At 42.1% G+C, this 21,879-nt stretch overlaps 1 protein-coding gene across 13 annotated transcripts in view; it reads left to right on the top strand.

Moving 5' to 3' along the window:
- ELF1 (E74 like ETS transcription factor 1) overlaps positions 1–21,879 on the top strand; it is a 129,468-nt gene that overhangs the window by 94,546 nt on the left and 13,043 nt on the right. For 11 of the 13 annotated variants that reach the window (NM_001370330.1, XM_047430118.1, NM_172373.4 and 8 more), the window contains 3 exons: positions 7,825–8,005; positions 15,405–15,512; positions 16,868–17,035. In NM_001370330.1, coding sequence (NP_001357259.1) covers positions 7,825–8,005; positions 15,405–15,512; positions 16,868–17,035 — 457 coding nt within the window. Of the gene's footprint in view, positions 1–5,279; positions 5,399–7,824; positions 8,006–15,404; positions 15,513–16,867; positions 17,036–21,879 lie in introns of all 13 variants that reach the window. The other 2 variants (NM_001370329.1, NM_001145353.1) reach the window with 2 other exon arrangements.

The following is a 21,879-nucleotide window of genomic DNA, read 5'->3' as shown; positions in this document are numbered from 1 at the left end:
CTTGCTTTTTGTTTTGGGAAAATATTTTGTAGGTATTTCATTTTAAGCTATTTTAGAGAGGATTTTGATGGGATGTTTCACAATCACCATATACCAGATTGAGTTCTGCTATTAGAGAAACTTGGTAAACAAGTTATATGAAAGTTCTTGTGCTTTTTGATACCCAAAAACTTGATGAACAAAATTATTAATGAAGTTGGAATAATGATTCATGGTTTCTGAAATATCCACATAGGACCTTGGATTGTGGTATGTGGAACAAGCAAGCCTAGTTAGGGGAGTCACATAATGTCCTGCTTACATTGGTCGCTTTCCTTCTCTTTTTAACTTGATGGTATTGCCACATACGTGATCAACCACAAGTGGAAACTATATCGTGGACAATGTTGAAATTTGGGGAACTGTGACTCTCTTCTGCTAAAACTTGGTTTGAATTTTATTATTGCTCCAAAAATGTTTGCTGAAATTTTGCTTTCAACATATATCCTAAATTTATCTATAATTAATAGAAAGGGGAAATCTCTTTGGAGCTGTTAAGACCTTCAAGAAAGTTATGAAACAATTGAAAATTACTTTATCACTGCAGTAATTTGCTTCTAGATATTGAAGCTTTGGAAACCCTGATCTTTGATAGATTTTAGTTCCAGGAGATCTTCCCTCTCTTGTTCCCATGGTTTGTGGTTTATTTTGGTTCTGTTCAAAAACCAAAGGGGAAAATAATCTGCAAGTGACAAATAGCAAAAGATCTAATAATATAAAAATGTAATTGTTTGAATTACTAATATCCCAGATCTTAGCAAGAATAATTAGAGCTGACTCAACTTAGGGAATGCAGTTTTGAATGTTGTCATTCTTCAGAGCGGTGGTCCTGAAGCCTGGATGCAAATTGGACCCACCTGGGGAGCTTTAATATTAGGCTCTGGTCACACCCCCAGATAGTCTGATTTATTTTATCCCATGTGGGGTCAAATATTGATATTCTTAAATGTTTCCCACTGTACAGCGAAAATTGATAAGCACCAGTAGAATTTAATTAGATTTCATGATGCAAATAAAAGAAAAGATGCTTAATCTAATTATTTAAATGATGAGAGTTTTTAGAAGTGTTTGGAAGGTTTGGAAGGTCATTTTTTAAAGTAGCAGCCAGTCAAATGGAATGTAATGTTTTTGTTAAGGCATCAAAGAAGCATTGAAACCTTCATTTCTTTTTTTTTTTCTTTGAGATGAAATCTTGCTCTATCACCCAGGTTGGAGTGCAGTGGCATAATCTGGGCTCATTGCAGCCTCTGCCTACCAGATTCAAGCTTCTCATGCCTCAGGCTCCTGAGTAGCTAGGATTACAGGTGCACACCACCACACCCAGCTAATTTTTTTATTTTTTAGTAGAGATGAGGTTTCTTCATGTTGGCCAGGCTGGTCTCGAACTCCTGACCTCAGGTGATCCACCCGCTTCGGCCTCCCAAAGTGCTGGGGTTACAGGTGTGAGCCACTGCACCCGGCCAACACCTTCATTTCTTAAAAGTAGGTAACATCTTATTGCTTACTATTAGGAGTGTGGCTATTTTATGAATATCTGCTATCTTCCTGAAGCCCATCTTTTAAATAAATCTTGGGAAAGGGTCTGTTTGAAATGGTGTGGAAAAAATTGAGGTGGGTAAGATTTGATGATCTTCAGCAAAGAAACCTGAAGAGTAATATCCAATCTCAATTTAGAAACAATGAAAAGACTAGTTTATACAAGTTATTTCGGGCAGAGGGAACAAATTGTTAAATGACAGACTTAAAACCAAATTAAATTAAGTCCTATTATTGGTTGAATTGTGCCTGCGTGCACACCCACACACCAATTCATATATTGAAGTTCTAACCTCTAGTACCTCAGAGTGTAACCTTATTTGGTTGTTGGAAATAGGGTCATGGCAGATGTAATTAGTAAAGAAGTTACACTACAGGAGAGGGGAGCCCTTACTCCACTACCTGGTGTCCTTATAAAAAGGGGAAATTTGGGCTGGGTGCGGTGGCTCACACCTGTAATCCCAACACTATGGGAGGCCGAGTTGGGTGGATCGCTTGAGCTCAGGAGTTCGAGACCAGCCTGGGGAACATGGAGAAACCCCATCTGTGCAAAAGATCCAAAAATTAGCCAGGCGTAATGGTGCATGCCTGTAGTCGCAGCTACTTGAGAGGCTGAGGTGAGAGGATCGCTTGAGCCCGGGAGGCAGAGGTTATGGTGAGCTGAGATTGCACCACTGCACTCCAGCCTAGGTGACAGAGGGAGAGCTGAGATCACGCCACTGCACTCCATCCTGTCTCAATTAAAAAAAGTCGGGGGGTGAGTGGAGTTGGATTTGGACACAGAGCCCATGTAAACATGAAGACCAGCCATCTATAAGTCAAAGAGAGAGACCTGGAACAGTTCCTTCCCCCACAGTCTGCAAAAGGAGCCAGCCCTGCCAACACCTTGATTTCAGACTTTTAGCCTCCAGAACTGTGAGAAAATAAATTTCTGCTGAGGGACCCAGTTTGTAGTACTTTGTTGCAGCAGCCGTAGCAAACTAATATAAGTCCCAATATTTTATTTGTTTTGAAAATCTAAACCTAGGAAAATTCAGCATTTGAAATTTTACTATTTCTTTAAAAGGTAGGGAAGCAGTTCTCTAGAAGGAATTGTAGAATGTGTGGTTCTAGAGTTCTTAGGTTCTTGATGACTCATACTTTAGCCAGTTACTGGTCAATCCAGTTTACAAAGCAGTTCATCATGAGCCCAGATCAGCAGCTGGAGTTTCAGGAGTGTGCATTTTTTTTCTATTTATGGTAGTAGAGTGGGAAGAATCTTTCTAGTCACCTGAGAGGTGTTTCCTAAATGTATTTTGTATATACAGATTCAAGCCTCTTACCTGACTTATTCATAGTCTTTCTTTTTTTTTTTCTTTTTGAGACGGAGTCTTGCTCCGTCACCCAAGTTGGAGTGCAGTGGTGCGATCTTGGCTCACTGCAACCTCTGCCTCCTGGGTTAAGTGATTCTCCTGCCTCATCCTCCTGAGTAGCTGGGACTATAGGCTCATGCCACCATGCCCAGCTAATTTTTGTATTTTTAGTAGAGGCAGGGTTTTACCATGTTGGCCAGGATGTTCTCAATCTCTTGACCTCGTGATCCGCCCGCCTCGGCCTCCCAAAGTGCTGGGATTACAGGCGTGAGCCACTGCGCCCAGCACCTAACTATTCATATTCTTATGAAAATCTGAAGTTGGTCTCTTTCTTATATATGGATTAATAGCATCCTGGGGAAACGAGAGATGAACAACTTTGAATATACATCCCATGTCAGTGGACTAGAAAAGAATGGACCATGCCTTTCATGATAAAAGCAAGTACCTCAGAAGGAGAAGGCTGTAGGACTAAATTAGGAGTGATCCTGGGAAGTGCCCTGCTGACCAAGAAGAACTGGCTATTCCCATGAGAAATTTTGTTATAGACTCTGATTGGTGAAGCCTTGGAAATAATAGTGAAACTCATACCTCCACCTCAAACACAGCTCCTTAATTATTCTGGTTTTCTAAACAGAGCCAAGTAAGTATGCCAGCAGAACAAATCTACTATGTTTAAAGCTGACTACAATAGTGTATAAGTAAAGGACATGGACCCTGGAGTCAGTTCAAGTTAGGTTTATGACTTGGAGTAGATTATTTCCCTTGCCTCTGTTTTCTCATGTGTAAAATGGATAGTCCAGTGTGTCTCCATCATAGCATTTTGTGATGATTAAATAGAGTGATAATTCACGTAAAGCAATGTGCAAAATGTCTCGTGCATATTAAATGTTGGTTAATAGCAATGGCAGCAGCTATGTGGCCACAGTGCATGCTACTCTCCCATTTTAGTGTGTAAGAGTGAATAATCTCTTCTCGTGAAATGTTATAAGCTCAGACAGTAGAATCCATGAATTCAAAATATTAACAAAGCAAAACCTGGAAGGGCCTGTAGGATCAACTGGTGCTCTTCATTCATTTAAAGGTTCAGAAAATAAGGTCATGAAATCAGGGTTGGAGAAGGCCCTAGGTCTCCTGGTTCCCAGTTTTTCTTTTCTGCTACATGTGGCTGCCTTCTAAATCACAGAACCATGTGTCTCTTTTCATTCTTCTTCTTCTTTTTTTTTTTTTTTTTGAGACAGTCTTCTTCACTCAGGCCAGAGTGCAGTGGTGCGACCTTGGTTCACTGCAACCTCCGCCTCCCAGGTTCAAGCCATTCCCCTGCCTCACCCTCCTAAGTAGCTGGGATTGCAGGTGCCCGTCACCATGACTGGCTCATTTTTTGTATTTTTTTAGTAAAGACAAGGTTTCACCGTGTTGGCCAGGCTGATCTCGAACTCCTGACCTCAAGTGATCCACCCACCTTGCCCTCCCAAAGTGCTGGGATTGCAGACATGAGCCACCACTCCTGGCCACTCTCTTTTTTTAATCCCAAAGACTTCAAAACTACTTTTCATTCTTAATAAACCTTTTGCTTCAAAGGAAACGTTTTTTTCTCTTGACGTTTGTGTGTTTGAAATTTTCCTTATTAAATAGTTTAAAAATTATTAAATTTAAACTGAATTTAATTATGATTGTTTAAAGCAATTTGGAGTATGCCTGACTGTACATTTACTGTCTGTACAGTAACAGAACAAAGAAATTGGTAGCAGTGATTGCCTCTGGGAAGGGCACTGTGGTAGAAGTGACATTGATTATAAAGGAGAATTCTGGAGAATAGAGTAACTACTGGTTAGTAGAACAGGACAAGGAATAAAGTAGTAACAAGTATCTGTGGTTAACCAAAACTCAAGAACTGTATAGACTCAAAAATTTGGAAGTATCCCTTGTTATGTACACATTAGCACTCTCTACCCAAGCTACAGGAGCCAAATAGATTTGGTTAGGGAGGAATACTTTGGTTTCATTTGGGTGAGAACTGCTCCTGTGAATTGCATTTTACACGCCTGTCTCTGACTTATCAGTGGATGAAGTGATGAGCTCTGTTCCTACCTTGTACATGGGTTTTTGCAGCATAAAAGTGCTTAATTCTGGACTAAGCCTTGTTAGAAGACCAGGAGCTTAATTGAGCTTTTAGAAGAGAAGAAAAGGAAAAGTGTTTTAACAAGTCCATGTTTATGCTAGGTGGGATTGCATGTCTACAATTTACCTGTCAAAAAAGGGAAAGGGAAGGCTAGCTACACTTTTCTTTAAGGTGTGTGAAGTGTATTTATGTGAGTTACGGTATAATTTTTTTCTTTCTTTTTTTTTCAGTGACAGGGTTTTGCTGTGTTGCCCAGGCTGAAGTACAGTAGGTATTCACAGATGGGATTGTAGCACAGGACAGCCTTGAACTCCTGGGCTCAAGCCATCCTCCTGTTTCAGCCTTCCAGGTAGCTGGGACTACAGGCACATACCACCAGGCCTGGCTTCTATAGTATAATTTTTGAGCCTCCTAGTTTCTGTTTTAAAATTTGTTTTACTATTTGAAGAGCCAGTTACTTTTCTAGCTAGCTTCCTCTTTTCTAAAACAGGAAGAAAGATTTTGAAATAAAACGATCCAAATGTGTTTTAGGATTATTAACCATAAATTTCAGAACATAGCATTCTCGAAGGCAAGGATATTATCTGTTTAGCACCTACAATGTGTATTTAATTTAGGTAATTAAATTATTATGACAGAAGTAATGTCTAACCTCAGTGTGTAGTTTTGTAAACATTAATTTTAAAAGATTGAGGCTGCTTAGTTGCAATGAAACCATAAATAATATTTTGAATATAGCAGACTTACTTAAGGAAAATAGCAAGGTGCCTGGCATTATTATCTATGAGCAGGAACTTTTTCTTACATTTAAGAAGATGGCTTGAACCTGGGAGGCGGAGGTTGCAGTGAGTCAAGATCGCCACACTGCACTCTAGCTTGGGCGGCAAAGCAAGACTCCATCTCAAAGAAAAAGAGAAGATTCTTTATAGAGAAGTGTTTAGTTAAGAAACATAAAATTTACATAGTTTTGAGTTAACTTCCCACAAGATACATATTAGTAACTTGATAATAGAGAAACCTGGTAGATACTACCTTAACTAAGTGATCAAAATTAATCTAGGCATGGAGGCATGCACTTGTAGTCCCAGCTATTTGGGAGGCAGATGCGGGAGGATCACTTGAACCCAGGAGTTCGAGTCCAGCCTGGGCAACAGAGCAAGACCCTGTCTCAATAGTATGAACATAAATATATATTAAAAATTAATATCCCCAGCAATGGGGGGACAAATAGGTATTTTGGACCCCCTGACATGATATATTTGAAAGAACATAACATTATTTCTTTGGTATTCCTACCAAAAATGCAAACTGAATCTAATCATAAGGAAATATACAAACCCAAATTGGTAGACATTCTACAAAACAGATGACCTGTACTCTTCAAAAGTGTCAAGATTGTGAAAGACAAAGAGCAAAGAACTTCTCAGATTAAAGGAAAAGAAATTGTTCCAGGTTAAAGGAGTTATTAAGAAACATGATATTTACTAAAGGAAACCTATAACCAAAAAAGATTTTTTTTTAACTTTTTAAAAGGACATTAGTGGGACAATTAGAAATTTGGATAATGTCTAAAGATTAGATAATAGTATTGTATTAATGTTATTTTCCTAGTTTTGATAATTATGCTGTCTTTATATTAGATAGTATTTTTATATTTAGGAAATTAACACAAAGTAGGATTAAGAAGCAATATGTCTAACACTTTCAAACACATCAGAAAACAATATAGGTAGAGAATGATAAATAGATGTGGTTAAATGTTAGAACTGAGGGAATATGGGTGAAGGTTGTATGGGAATTATTTGTGCTGTTTTTGCAACTTTTATAAGTCTGCGATTATCTCAAAATGATAAAGGAAGTAGTATCTTAATGAGGTTTGCCGCTAATTAACTGAGTTTTTAGTAGGTTGTTAAAAACCCTCTCTGGGTCAGTTTCCTCATCTATAAAATGAGGTAGCTGACTTACATTAAATTGTATGGGTCCTTTCCATTCTAAAATTCTGTGATATTATAACTAGACATTAGGAGTAATAGTTTATACTCTTAATATAGCCATACTTGAAAAGAACAATAATAGAAAATGAGGGTTAATTTTCCCACTTAAGTCAAAAGCTGTTGTTAAAACACAGCCTTTGTGCCAAGCGACAGTGTAATATTAAGCTCACAGATTTTTTTGTTTTGCCAAAAAACTTTTATTGAGATTTGATTTAATTAACATTTTATTTGTATGTCACTTCTTGGTTCATGCTTATGCATTAATGGCATCTTATTATTATTATTTATTTTATTTATTTTTTGAGAAGGAGCCTCACTCTGTCACCCAGGCTGGAGTGCAGTGGTGCGATCTCGGCTCACTGCAACCTCCGCCTCCCAGGTTCAAGTGATTCTCCTGCCTCAGCCTCCCTAGTAGCTGAGACTACAGGTGCATGCCACCGTGCCCAGCTAATTTTTGTATTTTTAGTAGAGATGGGGTTTCACCATGTTAGCCAGGATGGTCTTGATTTCCTGACCCTCGTGATCTGCCTGCCTCGGCCTCCCAGAGTGCTGGGATTACAGGTGTGAGTCACCGCGCCCAGCCTTCATTTTTAAATTTTAATGCCATTATTTGGTTGTAATAGATACAAATTACCTAATGCCTAGAAAGATTATAGAGATACAGCCTGATGATCTAAAAATTAAATTGATGGCTAGTATAAAATAGTTTTGAGCATTATTTAACAAAAGCAAAACTGTGTTAATCCTTTGTTTTCATTTTCCTCTCCCTAACCCTTCCCAGCTTGGTGATCCAGCTATTTTTCCTGCCGTAATTGTGGAACATGTTCCTGGTGCTGATATTCTCAATAGTTATGCCGGTCTAGCCTGTGTGGAAGAGCCCAATGACATGATTACTGAGAGTTCACTGGATGTTGCTGAAGAAGAAATCATAGACGATGATGATGATGACATCACCCTTACAGGTGCGTGTGTCTCCATCCAGTAGGACCTTGCTGCAGCACAGCTTTAGGCAGTGTCCTAATCCTGAGGATGTGGGGGCATAAAACGCCCCTAACTTGGTTTTAAACTGTATTACCTTCAGAAACTACAGCCCTACATGGAGAAGAAAATTACATTTTCTGTTTCATCTGCTGGATTTAGTACTGTTTTGTCATCTCCCATTTCTCCTTTCCTAAATATATTGAGATGAATGTGACAAAATAAGAGGCATTTAAAAGGAACCAAACCTCAATTCATCAAGTCTTCACTGAGCAGTTTTTTTTTTTTTTAAGAGATGGAGTCTTACTGTATTGCCCAGCCTAGACTTGGACTCCTGGGCTCAAGTGATCCTCCTGCCTTAGCCTCCTGAGTAACTGGGACAACAGTCATGCACCACCCCACCCAGCTCACTGAGTACTTTCTTATATGCCTTCCTCCGTATTCCTGTGAACAAAATGAGTTGTTTTGTAGGGAAAGAGAGAGGAATGTTCTTTTCTTACCACTGCCACAGGAAGCAAAATGGTGGGCCATGACCCAAATGTACGATAAGGTCCTGGGATTTATAGATTTCTTTTCTGGTTCAGTCAGAACTAGTAAGATATTTTAAACTTGAAGATTAGGCTACATAAATGTGAGATTGTAGTAATAATACTTTCATCACTTAGAAATTGGTACATGCTTTCTCTTTTTGTTCATTTACAGTCATATATCTTGGCCAGGGATGTTGTGGATATTTGAGAAAACTGTTTGGAAGCAAATATTTGCATCTTTATTCGTAAAAGAAAGTTTATCAGAAATAGGCAAGATGAGGTATATCTGTAGATTTCATAGTGGCAAGTACTGGGGCTGCCTTGTTCTCAGCTTTACCTTAGCATGTAGCACAATGCCTTAGAACTGAATAGTAAGTCTAAAGGCGGGTTCTGATCTATTTAGGAAGTTAACATATGATACAGTAATGTTTTAAATCGGGGAAAGGTAGAATGACTGTATCCATCTGGTGGGGGAGAGGCCCCACTGTTAACATTGGTTGTCAATACCTCATCTTTGTGTTGTCCTCTGTTTTAGTCACTTCTCACATTGCTATAAAGAACTACCTGAGACTGGGTAATACTTATAAAGAAAAGAAGTTTAATTGGCTCATGGTTCTGCAGGCTGTACAGGAAGCATGGCTGGGGAGACCTCAGGAAACTTACAATCATGGTGGAAGGCGAAGGGGAAGCAGGCACATCCTACATGGCTGGAGCAGGAGGAACAGAAGGCAGGGTGGTAGGGGGTGCTACACACTTTCTTTTTTTTCTTTTTTTTTTTTTTAAATGCACAAATTTATTTTTTCTCAACAAACACACATCTTAATGCCTTTACAACTTTTATCTCCCCAAATATATCTTGCTTTTCTTTATACATGCTGTATACAGAGTTGTTTTCCTTATATTTAGTAGTTATTGCTTTTTTGTGCCCTTTTGGGTCCTGAATTTACACATCAGGCATAGATCTTGGGACAGGAAAGAGCTGTGAAGCAAATTCCTGGAAGATCAAACCCCTTCCAGCATGGCCAGGTAGCACAGCTGAGCCAGGGATGATGGGGCCATATTGGGTTTGGCTCTGCCTTGCAGCTGGCAGTCCAAACACTGAGGACATGCATATTTCTGCAGGCCTCACTATGGTCATCTGTCCAAACCCCAGAATCCAGAGACTCAAAACGAAATACAGTCATACAGTAAGATATGTGCAAGGTTTCAGGGAGCCCAGCAGCCAGACCTTACACAAATCAAGCAAGTTTAAGAAATATTCCAGAAGTAGCAGTTTTATGACCTTAAAACATGTAATAGGCTGGGCACAGTGGCCCATGCCTGTAATCCCAGCACTTTGGGAGGCCAAGGTGGGCAGATCACTTGAGGTCAGGAGTTCGAGACCAGCCTGGCCAACATGGTGAAATCCTGTTTCTACTACAAATACAAAAATTAGCCAAGTATGGTGGCATACACGTGTAGTTTAGCTATTCGGAAGGCTGAGGCAGGAGAATCACTTGAACCTGGGAGACGGAAGTTGTGGTGAGCTGAGATCTCACCACTGCACTCCAGCCTGGGCAATGAGAGCAAAACTCCAGCTCAAAAACAAAAAACAAATTAAAAAAAAAAAAGTAATAGAGACGATGTAAACCTGTCAGTAGACCCAGGCAAAAACAATTATATTTAACTGACAATCCTGAAGCCTTTCCAACTTTCTTTTTTTTTTTTTTTTTTTTTTTGATCATTCTTGGGTGTTTCTCGCAGAGGGGGATTTGGCAGGGTCACAGGACAATAGTGGAGGGAAGGTCAGCAGATAAGTGCAGATAAGTGAACAAAGGTCTTTGGTTTTCCTAGGCAGAGGACCCTGCGGCCTTCCACAGTGTTTGTGTCCCTGGGTACTTGAGATTAGGGAGTGGTGATGACTCTTAACGAGCATGCTGCCTTCAAATATCTGTTTAACAAAGCCATCTTGCACCACCCTTAATCCATTCAACCCTGAGTGGACACAGCACATGTTTCAGAGAGCACAGGGTTGGGGGTAAGGTCACAGATCAACAGGATCCCAAGGCAGAAGAATTTTTCTTAGTACAGAACAAAATGAAAAGTCTCCCACGTCTACCTCTTTCTACACAGACACGGCAACCATCCGATTTCTCAGTCTTTTCCCCACCTTTCCCCCCTTTCTATTCCACAAAACCGCCATTGTCATCATGGCCCGTTCTCAATGAGCTGTTGAGTACACCTCCCAGACGGGGTGGTGGCCGGGCAGAGGGGCTCCTCACTTCCCAGTAGGGGCGGCCAGGCAGAGGCGCCCCTCACCTCCTGGACGGGGCGGCTGGCCGGGCGGGGGGCTGACCCCCCCGCCTCCCTCCCGGACGGGGCGGCTGGCCGGGCGGGGGGCTGACCTCCCCGCCTCCCTCCTGGATGGGGTGGCTGGCCGGGCGGAGGGGCTCCTCTCTTCCCAGTAGGGGTGGCCGGGCAGAGGCGCCCCTCACCTCCCGGACGGGGCGGCTGGCCGGGCGGGGGGCTGACCCCCCCGCCTCCCTCCCGGACGGGGCGGCTGGCCGGGCGGGGGGCTGACCTCCCCGCCTCCCTCCCGGATGGGGCGGCTGGCCAGGCCGGGGGCTGACTCCCCCACCTCCCTCCCGGACGGGGCGGCTGGCCGGGCAGAGGGGCTCCTCTCTTCCCAGTAGGGGCGGCCAGGCAGAGGTGCCCCTCACCTCCCGGACGGGGCGGCTGGCCGGGTGGGGGGCTGACCCCCCCACCTACTTCCCGGACGGGGCGGCTGGCCGGGCAGAGGGACTCCTCACTTCCCAGTAGGGGCGGCCGGGCAGAGGCGCCCCTCACCTCCCGGACGGGGCGGCTGGCCGGGCGGGGGGCTGACCCCCCCACCTCCTTCCCGGATGGGCAGCTGGCCGGGCAGGGGGATGACCCCCCCATCTCCCTCCCGGATGGGGCGGCTGGCCGGGTGGGGGGCTAACCCCCCCACCTCCCTTCCGGACGGGGCGGCTGGCCGGGCGGGGGGCTGACCCCCACCTCCCTCCCAGACGGGGTGGCTGCCAGGCGGAGATGCTCCTCACTTCCCAGACGGAGTGGCTGCCGGGCGGAGGGGCTCCTCACTTCTCAGAGGGTGTGGCTGCCGGGCGGAGGGGCTCCTCACTTCTCAGACGCGGCGGTTGCCAGGCAGAGGGTCTCCTCACTTCTCAGACGGGGCAGCCGGGCAGAGACGCTCCTCACATCCCAGACAGGGCGGCAGGGCAGAGGCGCTCCCCACATCTCAGACGATGGGCAGCCTGGCAGAGACGCTCCTCACTTCCTAGATGGGATGGCGGCCGGGCAGAGACGCTCCTCACTTTCCAGACTGGGCAGCCAGGCAGAGAGGCTCCTCACATCCCAGACGATGGGCCGCCAGGCAGAGACGCTCCTCACTTCCCAGACGGGGTGGCGGCCGGGCAGAGGCTGCAATCTCGGCACTTTGCGGGGCCAAGGCAGGCAGCTGGGAAGTGGAGGTTGTAGCGAGCCGAGATCACGCCACTGCACTCCAGCCTGGGCACCATTGAGCACTGAGTGAACGCGACTCCGTCTGCCATCCCGGCACCTCGGGAGGCCGAGGCTGGCGGATCACTCGCGGTTAGGAGCTGGAGACCAGCCCGGCCAACACAGCAAAACCCCGCCTCCACCAAAAAAATACGAAAACCAGTCAGGCGTGGCGGCGCGCGCCTGCAATCGCAGGCACTCGGCAGGCTGAGGCAGGAGAATCAGGCAGGGAGGTTGCAGTGAGCCGAGATGGCAGCAGTACAGTCCAGCTTTGGCTCGGCATCAGGGGGAGACCGTGGAAAGAGAGGGAGAGGGAGACCGTGGGGAGAGGGAGACCGTGGGGAGAGGGAGAGCTACACACTTTCAAACCACTAGATCTCATGAGAACTCATTCACTGTCACAAGAACAGTAAGGGGAAAATCCATCTCCACGATCCGGTCACCTCCCACCAGGCCCCTCCTCCAACATTGGGGTTTACAATTCAACATGAGATTTGGAGCGGGGACAAATCCAAGCCATATCACTCCCTTTTTTTTAACAAAGCATTTTTTGCATGTATTCACATTTTTTGTTCAGAGCAAACCAATAAAAGTTTTTTGTTGAATCTAGAGTTACTTTTCCCTTACCAGTGAGGGAATTGGACTAATCAGGTTAGAAGTTTCTATTCATTGCTGTCTGATCTGTATGTGTAACAGAATAAACACCACTATGCATGTATCTGGGCTTGTAGTTAGTGGGGGTTTAGCAGTGTATCCTGATATAACTTTTAAAGCCTTAGGGTAAGGCTACAGTCTTTGTAAGTTGAGGACCAATGTCTTTCCGGAAGGAGTGTTTCTTCCTAGTTCTAGTCATCAGGGAAGGCATTAGTTCTCAGAGAGGAAACCAGATTCTCTGTTTGTGTTTTTTCTTCCCTTTGCCTTACCTCCCAACTTACCAAAGCTTTGTTTAACTCTTCCATCCTTTTCTGAGCAATGTCATGAAAAAGGGAAGAACCTTGTAATCTTCGTTATTCCACAGTGGGGGTGACGGGGAGCCTTTGAGAAGCTCTAGGGGAAGAAAGAGATAAGGATAGGACATTTTTGTTCTTACACGTGTTAGGTGGCGCTTCAGATGATGTGTTAGTTTGCTAGGACTGCCATAAGAAAGTACCACAGACTGAGTGGCTCAAATGAGAAATTTATTTTCTCACAGTTCTGGAAGCTAGAAGTCTGAGATCAAGATATTGGTAGAGTTAATTCCTTCTGAGGCTTCTTTCTGGACTTATAGGTGACTTGTCTTCCAGTGTCTTCACATGGTCTTATGTTTTGTACCTGCCAGTGTTCATATTTCATCTTAGAGGGACACTAACCATATTGGATTAGGGCCTACACTAATAACCTCATTTTAACTCAGTTATCTCTTTAAAGACATTCTGAGGTACTGGGGGTTAGCATGTCAACATAGAATTTTGGGGGATACCATTCAGCCTATAATAGATGATATTAAAGAATTACTGTAGGCCGGGCACGGTGGCTGACACTTGTAATCCCAGCACTTTGGGAGGCCGAGGCGGGCAGATCACCTGAGGTCGGGAGTTCAAGACCAGCCTGACCAACATGGAGAAATCCCGTCTCTACTGAAAATACAGAATTAGCTGGGCATGGTGGCACATGCCTGTATTCCCAGCTACTCAAGAGGCTGAGGCAGGAGAATCGCTTGAATCTGGGAGGCAGAGGTTGCGGTGAGCCAAGATCACACCATTGCACTCCAGCCTGGGCAACAAGATTGAAACTTTGTCTCAAAAAAAAAAAAAAAGATTTATTGTTAGTATATTTAAGATATGATAGTAGTATTGTGTTAGACATCTTTTAGATACACATGCTAAAGTATTTAGAGATAAAATATGGTATTTTAGATTCCTTCAAAATAATCCTGTACAGAGGGTAAGGACTTGAGGGCAGTGAGTGGGGTATGGATGAAAGAAGATTGGCCATTTGGTGATAATAGTTGAAGCTAGGAATGGGCACATGGGGATTCATTATATATACTATACTCCACAATTTTTATTTTGTTTAAAATTTTCATAATAAAAATATTTGAACAGATGCAGCGGCTCACACCTGTAATCCCAGAACTTTGGGAGGCCAAGGAGGGAGGATCACCTGAGCCCAGGAATTCAAGGCCTGGCTTGAGGAATTCAGGCCTGGCTTGAGGAATTCAAGTGAGCAACATAGCGGGACCCTGTCTCTAAAAAAATTTTAAAAATTAGCTGGGCATGGTGGCCTGAGACTGTAGTCCTGTCTACTCGGGAGGCTGAGGTGGTAGGATTGCTTGAGCCTAGGAGTTTATGGTTGCAGTGAGCTATAATTGAGCCACTGCACTCTAGCCTGGGAGACAGGGTAAGACCTTGTCTCAAAAAAAAAAAGCAAAACCAAAAAGATTTAATGATTTTATGAAATTTGAGGCTTAGATTATATTTTGAGCTGTCATCAAAATACATAAATTTTTTTTTAGTCTTGCCAAAAAAAATTAAAGTTGAATTTCATCAAGCCTCCAGATATGACTACTCAGTTAGAGGGGGTATAGAAAAACATGTTAAGCTACACAATAGGAATATAGTTGGCAAAATCCAAACTATGGGAAATTCTACATGAATAAACAGCCTGAGTTCTTCAACAAATAAATTGCAAAGTAAAAAAAGCTAGACAGATGAATGGCAACTCAGAAATGTAAAGAAAGTTAAGAAATGTATCAGTCAATTGCAATATGCAGACTTAATTTGATTTAAGCAAAAAACTGTCTTGTCTTTCCTTGCACTGCCACCATTTATGATTTTTTAACACAATTGAACATTTGAATGCTGGTTGGCTATTTAATATTAAGGAAATATTGATTTTTTAATGTAATAGTTTCTGTTTTTTTTTTTTAAGACAGAGTCTCACTCTGTCACCCAGACTGGAGTGCAGTGGTTTAGTCTCAGCTCATTGAAACCTCCACCTTCTGGGTTCAAACGATTCTCCTATCTCACTCTCCTGAGTAGCTGGGACTACAGGTGCGTGCCACCACGCCCAGCTAATTTTTTGTATTTTTAGTAGAAACAGGGTTTCTCCATGTTGGCCAGTCTCAGACTCCTGACCTCAAGCAATCTGCTTGCCTCGGCTTCCCAAAGTGCGGGATTACAGGAATGAGCCACTGCGCCAGCCAGGTTTGGTATGATTTTGTGTGTTTATAGTTTATATATATATATAAACTAAAATATTAAATGATGTATTCTGGTTCTAGAGATAAGCGGTGTATGACTTTCAGAGTAACAGATGTCTCGTAGTTAATTTAATTTTCTCTTTAAATGTGTTGCAGTTGAAGCTTCTTGTCATGACGGGGATGAAACAATTGAAACTATTGAGGCTGCTGAGGCACTCCTCAATATGGATTCCCCTGGCCCTATGCTGGATGAAAAACGAATAAGTGAGTGATTATGATTGTTTATGTTTATGTACTTTGTTAAGTTACTCTTGCCATCTTTCTTTATTAGTAAAATCAAGAGATTAGAAATGATGTTATATATTTTTTGTTACAATCACATTTTAAGGTATAGTAGGAATTGAGGTGCCTTTGCAAAAACGTAGAGTTAAAGATGACATTTTAATTTGAGAATGAAGCCTTTGGGAACAAAAAAATGTAATTTATTACTTACCAAATAGAAGATCATGCAGAATTTCTTCTCTTAACATATTGATGAGAGTATTAGGGTATCAAGGGCCCAAATGATTATAATTTAGTCATCTCTGTAGTTATCAGCAAATAGGCAACAATCTATTGAAAATTTTACTGACACATCATGGCATAAAATTCACTGCCACATTATTGATCTGCTTTAAAATTCCTGTTCTCCTTTGGGCTTTTCTGACAAGCAATCAAATTCATAAAGTAAATTATTGCTAAATCAGTCTAAAATGTTTATTCAATATTTGCTATATTCACAGCAGCAATAATTAGGCAATAACATGAGATACAAATGAGCAGATACTGTTCCTTTCCTCAAGCTTACAGTTTAATTTTGAAGACAGTTACTTATGTAAATAACTACAAAGCCAAGAATAAAGGCCACAAGAGTGATAGCGAATTGCTCTAGTAGCAGTGGGTATTCTAGCTGAGAATATCAGAGACTGGCTTCATTGAAGGAGTATTCTGACCTGGGCTGTAAATGACAAGCTTTTAATAGGTAGAAGAGACATGAAAGGTCATTCAAGCTGGAGGGAATGGAGTTAAAGATACAAGACACAGATCTGTTAAAAAAAAAATGAATGAAATCTTTGAGATCAAGATGTTTTGGTGTGGTTGAAGTGTAAGCTTCATGGTGGGTGGGAAATGAGATTGGAAAGGTAGGTTTGGAACTAGATTACAGAAGCTTTGTAAGGCATGCTATAGAGATGGGTTGTGATTATTTTTTTGTTTGTTTTTTGTTTTTCCTATGAACTATGGAAAGGTATGTCAGTTTTGTTTTTTATTCCCCTAATTTTATGGTCAGGTCAGACTTAGGTTTCAGAAAATAACTCTCACAGCAATGTGAATAATCAAGAGGAGAGATGAGACAGACTGGTGATAGGAAGTCAAGTAAGAAAGACATTGAAATAGCTCGCCGTGCCTGGACTGGTTTAGGGTATTTGATTTTGGGAAGGGGAACTTAAACGCAGGAATAGATTTCAAGATTTTATTTCTACTTTAATCTTCTAGTCATAATAGAAACAAGAAATTTTCTCAATCGTTTTTTAACTTATAATACACAGTGGACTATAATTAGTTGATTTTATTTTCATTAGATAATAATATATTTAGTTCACCTGAAGATGACATGGTTGTTGCCCCAGTCACCCATGTGTCCGTCACATTAGATGGGATTCCTGAAGTGATGGAAACACAGCAGGTGCAAGAAAAATATGCAGACTCACCGGGAGCCTCATCACCAGAACAGCCTAAGAGGAAAAAAGGTAGGTGGGTTACTTTGTTTAGGGCGCATAGTCAAGTCTTGGTGTGAAATCTAGATATCACTTTTATTCTACATAGTTCTTTCCTGCTGCAGTTAAAACTTATGTAAGAAAAACATTGAAGGCACAAAATGGAAATTATGAGTTATTTCTTGGCCAGGCACGGAGATTCATGCCTGTAATCCCAGCACTTTAGGAGGCCGAGGCAGGAAGATTGTTTGAGGCCAGGAGTTTGAGACCAGCCTGGGCAACAAAGCAAGACCTCATCTCTACAAAAAATTTTAAGAATTAGCTGGGCACGGTAGGCACCTGTAGTCCTAGATACTTGGGAGGCCAAGGTGGAGGATCCCTTGAGCTCAGGAGTTACAGGTTTCAGCGAGCTAAGGTCATGCCACTGCACTCCAGCCTGGGCAACAGACTGAGACCCTATCTCTAAGAAATAAAATAAAATAAAAATAAATAAATAAGAAAAAGAGGTATTTCTTCATAGTAGAATCATTTCTTTTAAAAAATTAAAGTATTGGGCCAGGTGCGGTGGCTCATGCCTTTAATCCCAGCACTTTGGGAGGTGGGGGTGGGTGGATAACCTGAGGTCAGGGGTTTGAGACCAGCCTGGCCAATAAGGTGAAACCCCGTCTCTACTAAAAATATGAAAATTAGCCGGGCATGTTGACAGGTGCCTGTAATCCCAGCTACTTGGGAAGCTGAGGCAGGAGAATCACTTGAACCCAGGAAGTGGAGGTTACAGTGAGCTGAGACCACAACATTGAACTCTAGCCTGGGCAACAAGAGTGAAACTCCATCTCAAAAAAATAATGATAATAATTAAATTATTTTATACTTTTAAAAAGTTTGGTCTATCTTACAGAAAAGGGATTTTCCAACTTTTTAAAGCCTCAAATTTTTATCTAAACCCTTTTGTCCTTGGGTAAGGTCTAGTCAGCTTCCTTCCCAGGGGTTATTGTTTGAAAGCCTCCAGTCTGTACCGGTGATTCCAGTATAAGACTCCAGTTGGAAAAATACAATGGGTTGGAAATCAGCAGGTAAGTAACTGAAGAGGAGTATTTTAGGATGTGTTGAGTGGGAATTTTTAACTTTTTGCCAATTAGGACCACACTTGCATTCTAAAGTCTGACACCTTTTCCATTTTATTGCCTTCTGATTCTACTCATGCTTGCTTAGTATTTTGAGTATAATGTCTTGATTAATAGCATCACCACCCACCCAGTAACCTAAGTTCATGTGAAAGTCAGGGAAATTCCAAGAGCTGAAAATGAAGAGGAAAATAAAAATAGTAAACATGAGCCGACACTGCAGCAGCTCAGAAGGGCTGAGAAGGATATGCCGAGGGGCTCTGGTTTTATTGTCCGTGTTGAGGCAGAAGCTTAGGTCTTGGGCTACGCAAGATGGGGTATCGGACAGAGACCTCAGCATGTAACTGGGACCCTTGAAGGGATATACCCTCTTGGGGGAAAGAAATCCACCCATTGGCACAGACAGATGTCAAGGAAGCTTGGGTCCCATTCAGCCAGGCCTCTGAGTGGAGAAATTCTGGTTTAATTTCTTTTGGGTAAATACTTAGTAGTGGAATGGCTGGATCACATGTTAAGTGTACATTAAATATTTTTCAGAAACACAAACTGCTTTCCAAAAAATTTTTTCTCCATGTATTAAGGTGGGGCAGTCATAGGACTTGCCTCATTTATTTCCTGTCTCTCAGGGATCACTGGCTTTTGTTGACCGATGTCCAATTTCTTCAGTACCATTGTTTCATACCTTTTTTTCTGTGTTTTTAATTGTTTCAGGTGGGAAGATAAATCCATGTTCTGTTATTCCATCTTGACTAGAAGAGGAAGTTCCCACCTAGTCTTTTTTAATAGCCTTATTCTTCGACCATGTTTTTGTTCTTTTGCTTTAAAACCTCTAATCATACTATGTAAAGTTTCTATTTAATAATTCTGTTATGTGTGATTCTTAGAGAACTAATCCTAGGGTTTCCTAGTCTACTGCTTCTCACTCAGAAAGTGTCTTCCTCATGTATTCTGTGATACCAAAATGTGAGTTCAGCTTCAACGGGGCTTTATCTGAGGAAATCTTGTATGGCCTAGGTTGAATGTATAACCCACCTGAGCAATTCTATAAGAGCTTCTGCCTGGTGCCCCATAGTTATTACAGTCCTGGGGCTACATCTGTGTTAATTACTTGGCTGGCAATTCCTAATGTTAGTGGTAGTTTAAAATCTAGTTGTAAACCCAGGTTAAGACAGGCCCAGGATTAACTATGTTTATAGAAAAATTTGTACATAAATGGCTGATCTCAACTCATTGCATCCTCCACCTCTTGGGTTCAGGTGATTCTCCTGCCTCTGCCTCCCAGGTAGCTGGGATTAAAGGCATGTGCCACCACACCTGGCTGATTTTTGTATTTTTAGTAGAGATGAGGTTTCACCATGTTGGCCAGGCTGGTCTTGAACTCCTGACCTCAAGTGGTCCACCGCCTCGACCTCCCAAGTGCTGGGATTACATGGATGAGCCACCCTGCCTGGCCATTTATGTACAAATTTTTCTTAAATATGTAGTATTTGTTTACCCAGTCAGCAGTTAATGGGATTTGGGTTGTTTGTAGTTTGGGGCAACTGCAAATAATGCTGCTAAGAACATTTGTGTATCTTTTTTTTTTTTTTTGAGATGGAGTCTCGTTCTCTCACCCAGGCTGGAGTGCAGTGGCACTTTTATCAACACAGTAAAAATACCACTCAACAATAAAACAATATACGATTGGTACATTCAACAAAAATGGATGAATCTCTCAAAATAATTGTGCTAAAAGAGGGAAGCCAGAAGAAAAAATATGTTTCTACAGTTTACCCCCAAACAATGTGGGGGTTAGGGCCGTCAGCCTCTGCAGCCAAAAATCCATGTAAAACTACAGGCGAGCCCCACCATACCCAGCTAATTTTTAATTTTTATTTTTGTAGAGGTGGGTCTCACTATGTTGCCTAGCTTGGTCTTAAACTTCTAGGCTCAAGCATTCCTCCTGGTTTGGCCTTCCCAAATGCTGAGATTACAGGTGTGAGCCACCATGCCTGGCCAAAGGTCTTCATGCTTGTTGTGTTTATGTTGGCTAGGCTGAGGAGGGAGGAGGAAGAAAAGGGTTTGGTCTTGCTGTCTCAGGAGTAGCAGAGGTGGAAGAGATGGAGGAAGTGGAAGGGGAGGCAGGAGACACAGGCACACTTGATGTAACTTTATTGAAAAAAGATCCCTATATAAGTGGGCCTGTGCAGTTCAAAGCTGTGTTTTGTTTGAGGGTCAGTTTTATTTTTATATAAAGCTCTAGAAACTACCAACTAATCTATAATGACAGGAAACAGATGAGTGGTTGCCTGTGGATTGGGCAGGGTGAGGAAGGGCGAGATGTAAGGATTACAAAGGGGCACAAAGTACTTTTGGGGTGATGAATATATTCATTGTTTTGAATGTAGTGGTGGTGTTAGTATACATAGTCAAAACTTGTCAAATTGTAAACATCAAACATACGTAGTTTATTATATGTCAGTTATACCTCAATAAAGCTGCTTAAAAAATAAAAGGCTAATATCCTACTTAATGTTGAAAAACTATTGGTATGATAAAGAACCAAATGGAATTTATAGAAATAAGAAATGAAATTGGGCCATGCTCAGTGGCTCATGCTTGTAATCCCAGCACTTTGGGAGTCTGAGGCGGGCAGACATCCTGAGGTCGGAAATTCGAGAGCAACATGGTGAAACGCAATCTCTGCTAAAAATATGGAAAAAAATTAGCCAGGCATGGTGGTACGTGCCTGTAATCCCAGCTACTTGGGAGGCTGAGGCACGAGAATCGCTTGAACCCAGGAGGCAGAGGTTGCAGTGAGCCAAGATCGCACCATTGCATTCCAGCCTGAGCGACAGAGTGAGACTGTGTCTCAAAAACAAAAAAATGAAATGAAATTGAAAACATCATGTGTGGATTAAAACATAGACTAGTCACTGCTTAAGAAAGAATTAGTAAACTCCAGTAAATTTAGTGTGGATTAAAAAATATGAAACAGTTACAGACATGGAGAATTAAATGAAAAGGTCTACATGTTTAATCAAAGTTCCAGAAACAGAATATAAAAAGTGAGGAAGAGACAATATTCAAGAGATAGTGACTAAGAATTTTCCAGAATCACATTAATCCTCAGCATTGTGAATCCTGAGTAGTTCAGCTACAATAAATCTAGGCCTAAATGCATTGTTGGTAAAAATGCAGAACACCAAAGACCTCTCTTCAAGTTCTCCCCACTCAAAAAAAAGAAGCCGACCGGGGAGAAACTACATTACTTCAAGAGGATTGATTTTTTTTTTAGATTGGCAGTTTAGAAGCTCTCAGGAGAGGCTGGAAGAATTAGACATCTTCAAAGGGCTGAGAAGAAACCACTGCCAAACAAAAATTCTATATCTAACCAAGCTGTAATTCACCTGAAGCTTTGTACATTACCACCTTGAATGATTAGGAAGATGTTGGAGAGGATGGATACTGGGTTGGGAGTTTTTACTGGCAGCATCTGTTGTGACTAAAGCTAGTGGAGGAAAGTAGTGGAAATAAAGACGATATCTATTTTTTTTAAGCTGGTATATATTAATAGCATAAAATAAGGTGGAGGTTACTGAAGTGTTGGCTTCTAATACTGGTTGTCATGAACACAGCCAGAAGAATCTGTCTCATGAAGGGTTCTCTGCAGATGTCTCCAGTGATGAAAGTCGAGATACTTGGCTGACTAGCATACATTTGGCAGTCTTAGAGACTGAAGAGCGGGCTTTTTGACACTTTTCTCCCTTCCTT

Source organism: Homo sapiens, chromosome 13 (genome assembly GCF_000001405.40).
Source record: "Homo sapiens chromosome 13, GRCh38.p14 Primary Assembly".
NCBI classification, from domain to species: domain Eukaryota; kingdom Metazoa; phylum Chordata; class Mammalia; order Primates; family Hominidae; genus Homo; species Homo sapiens.
This window is presented reverse-complemented; position numbering and strand designations above follow the sequence as displayed.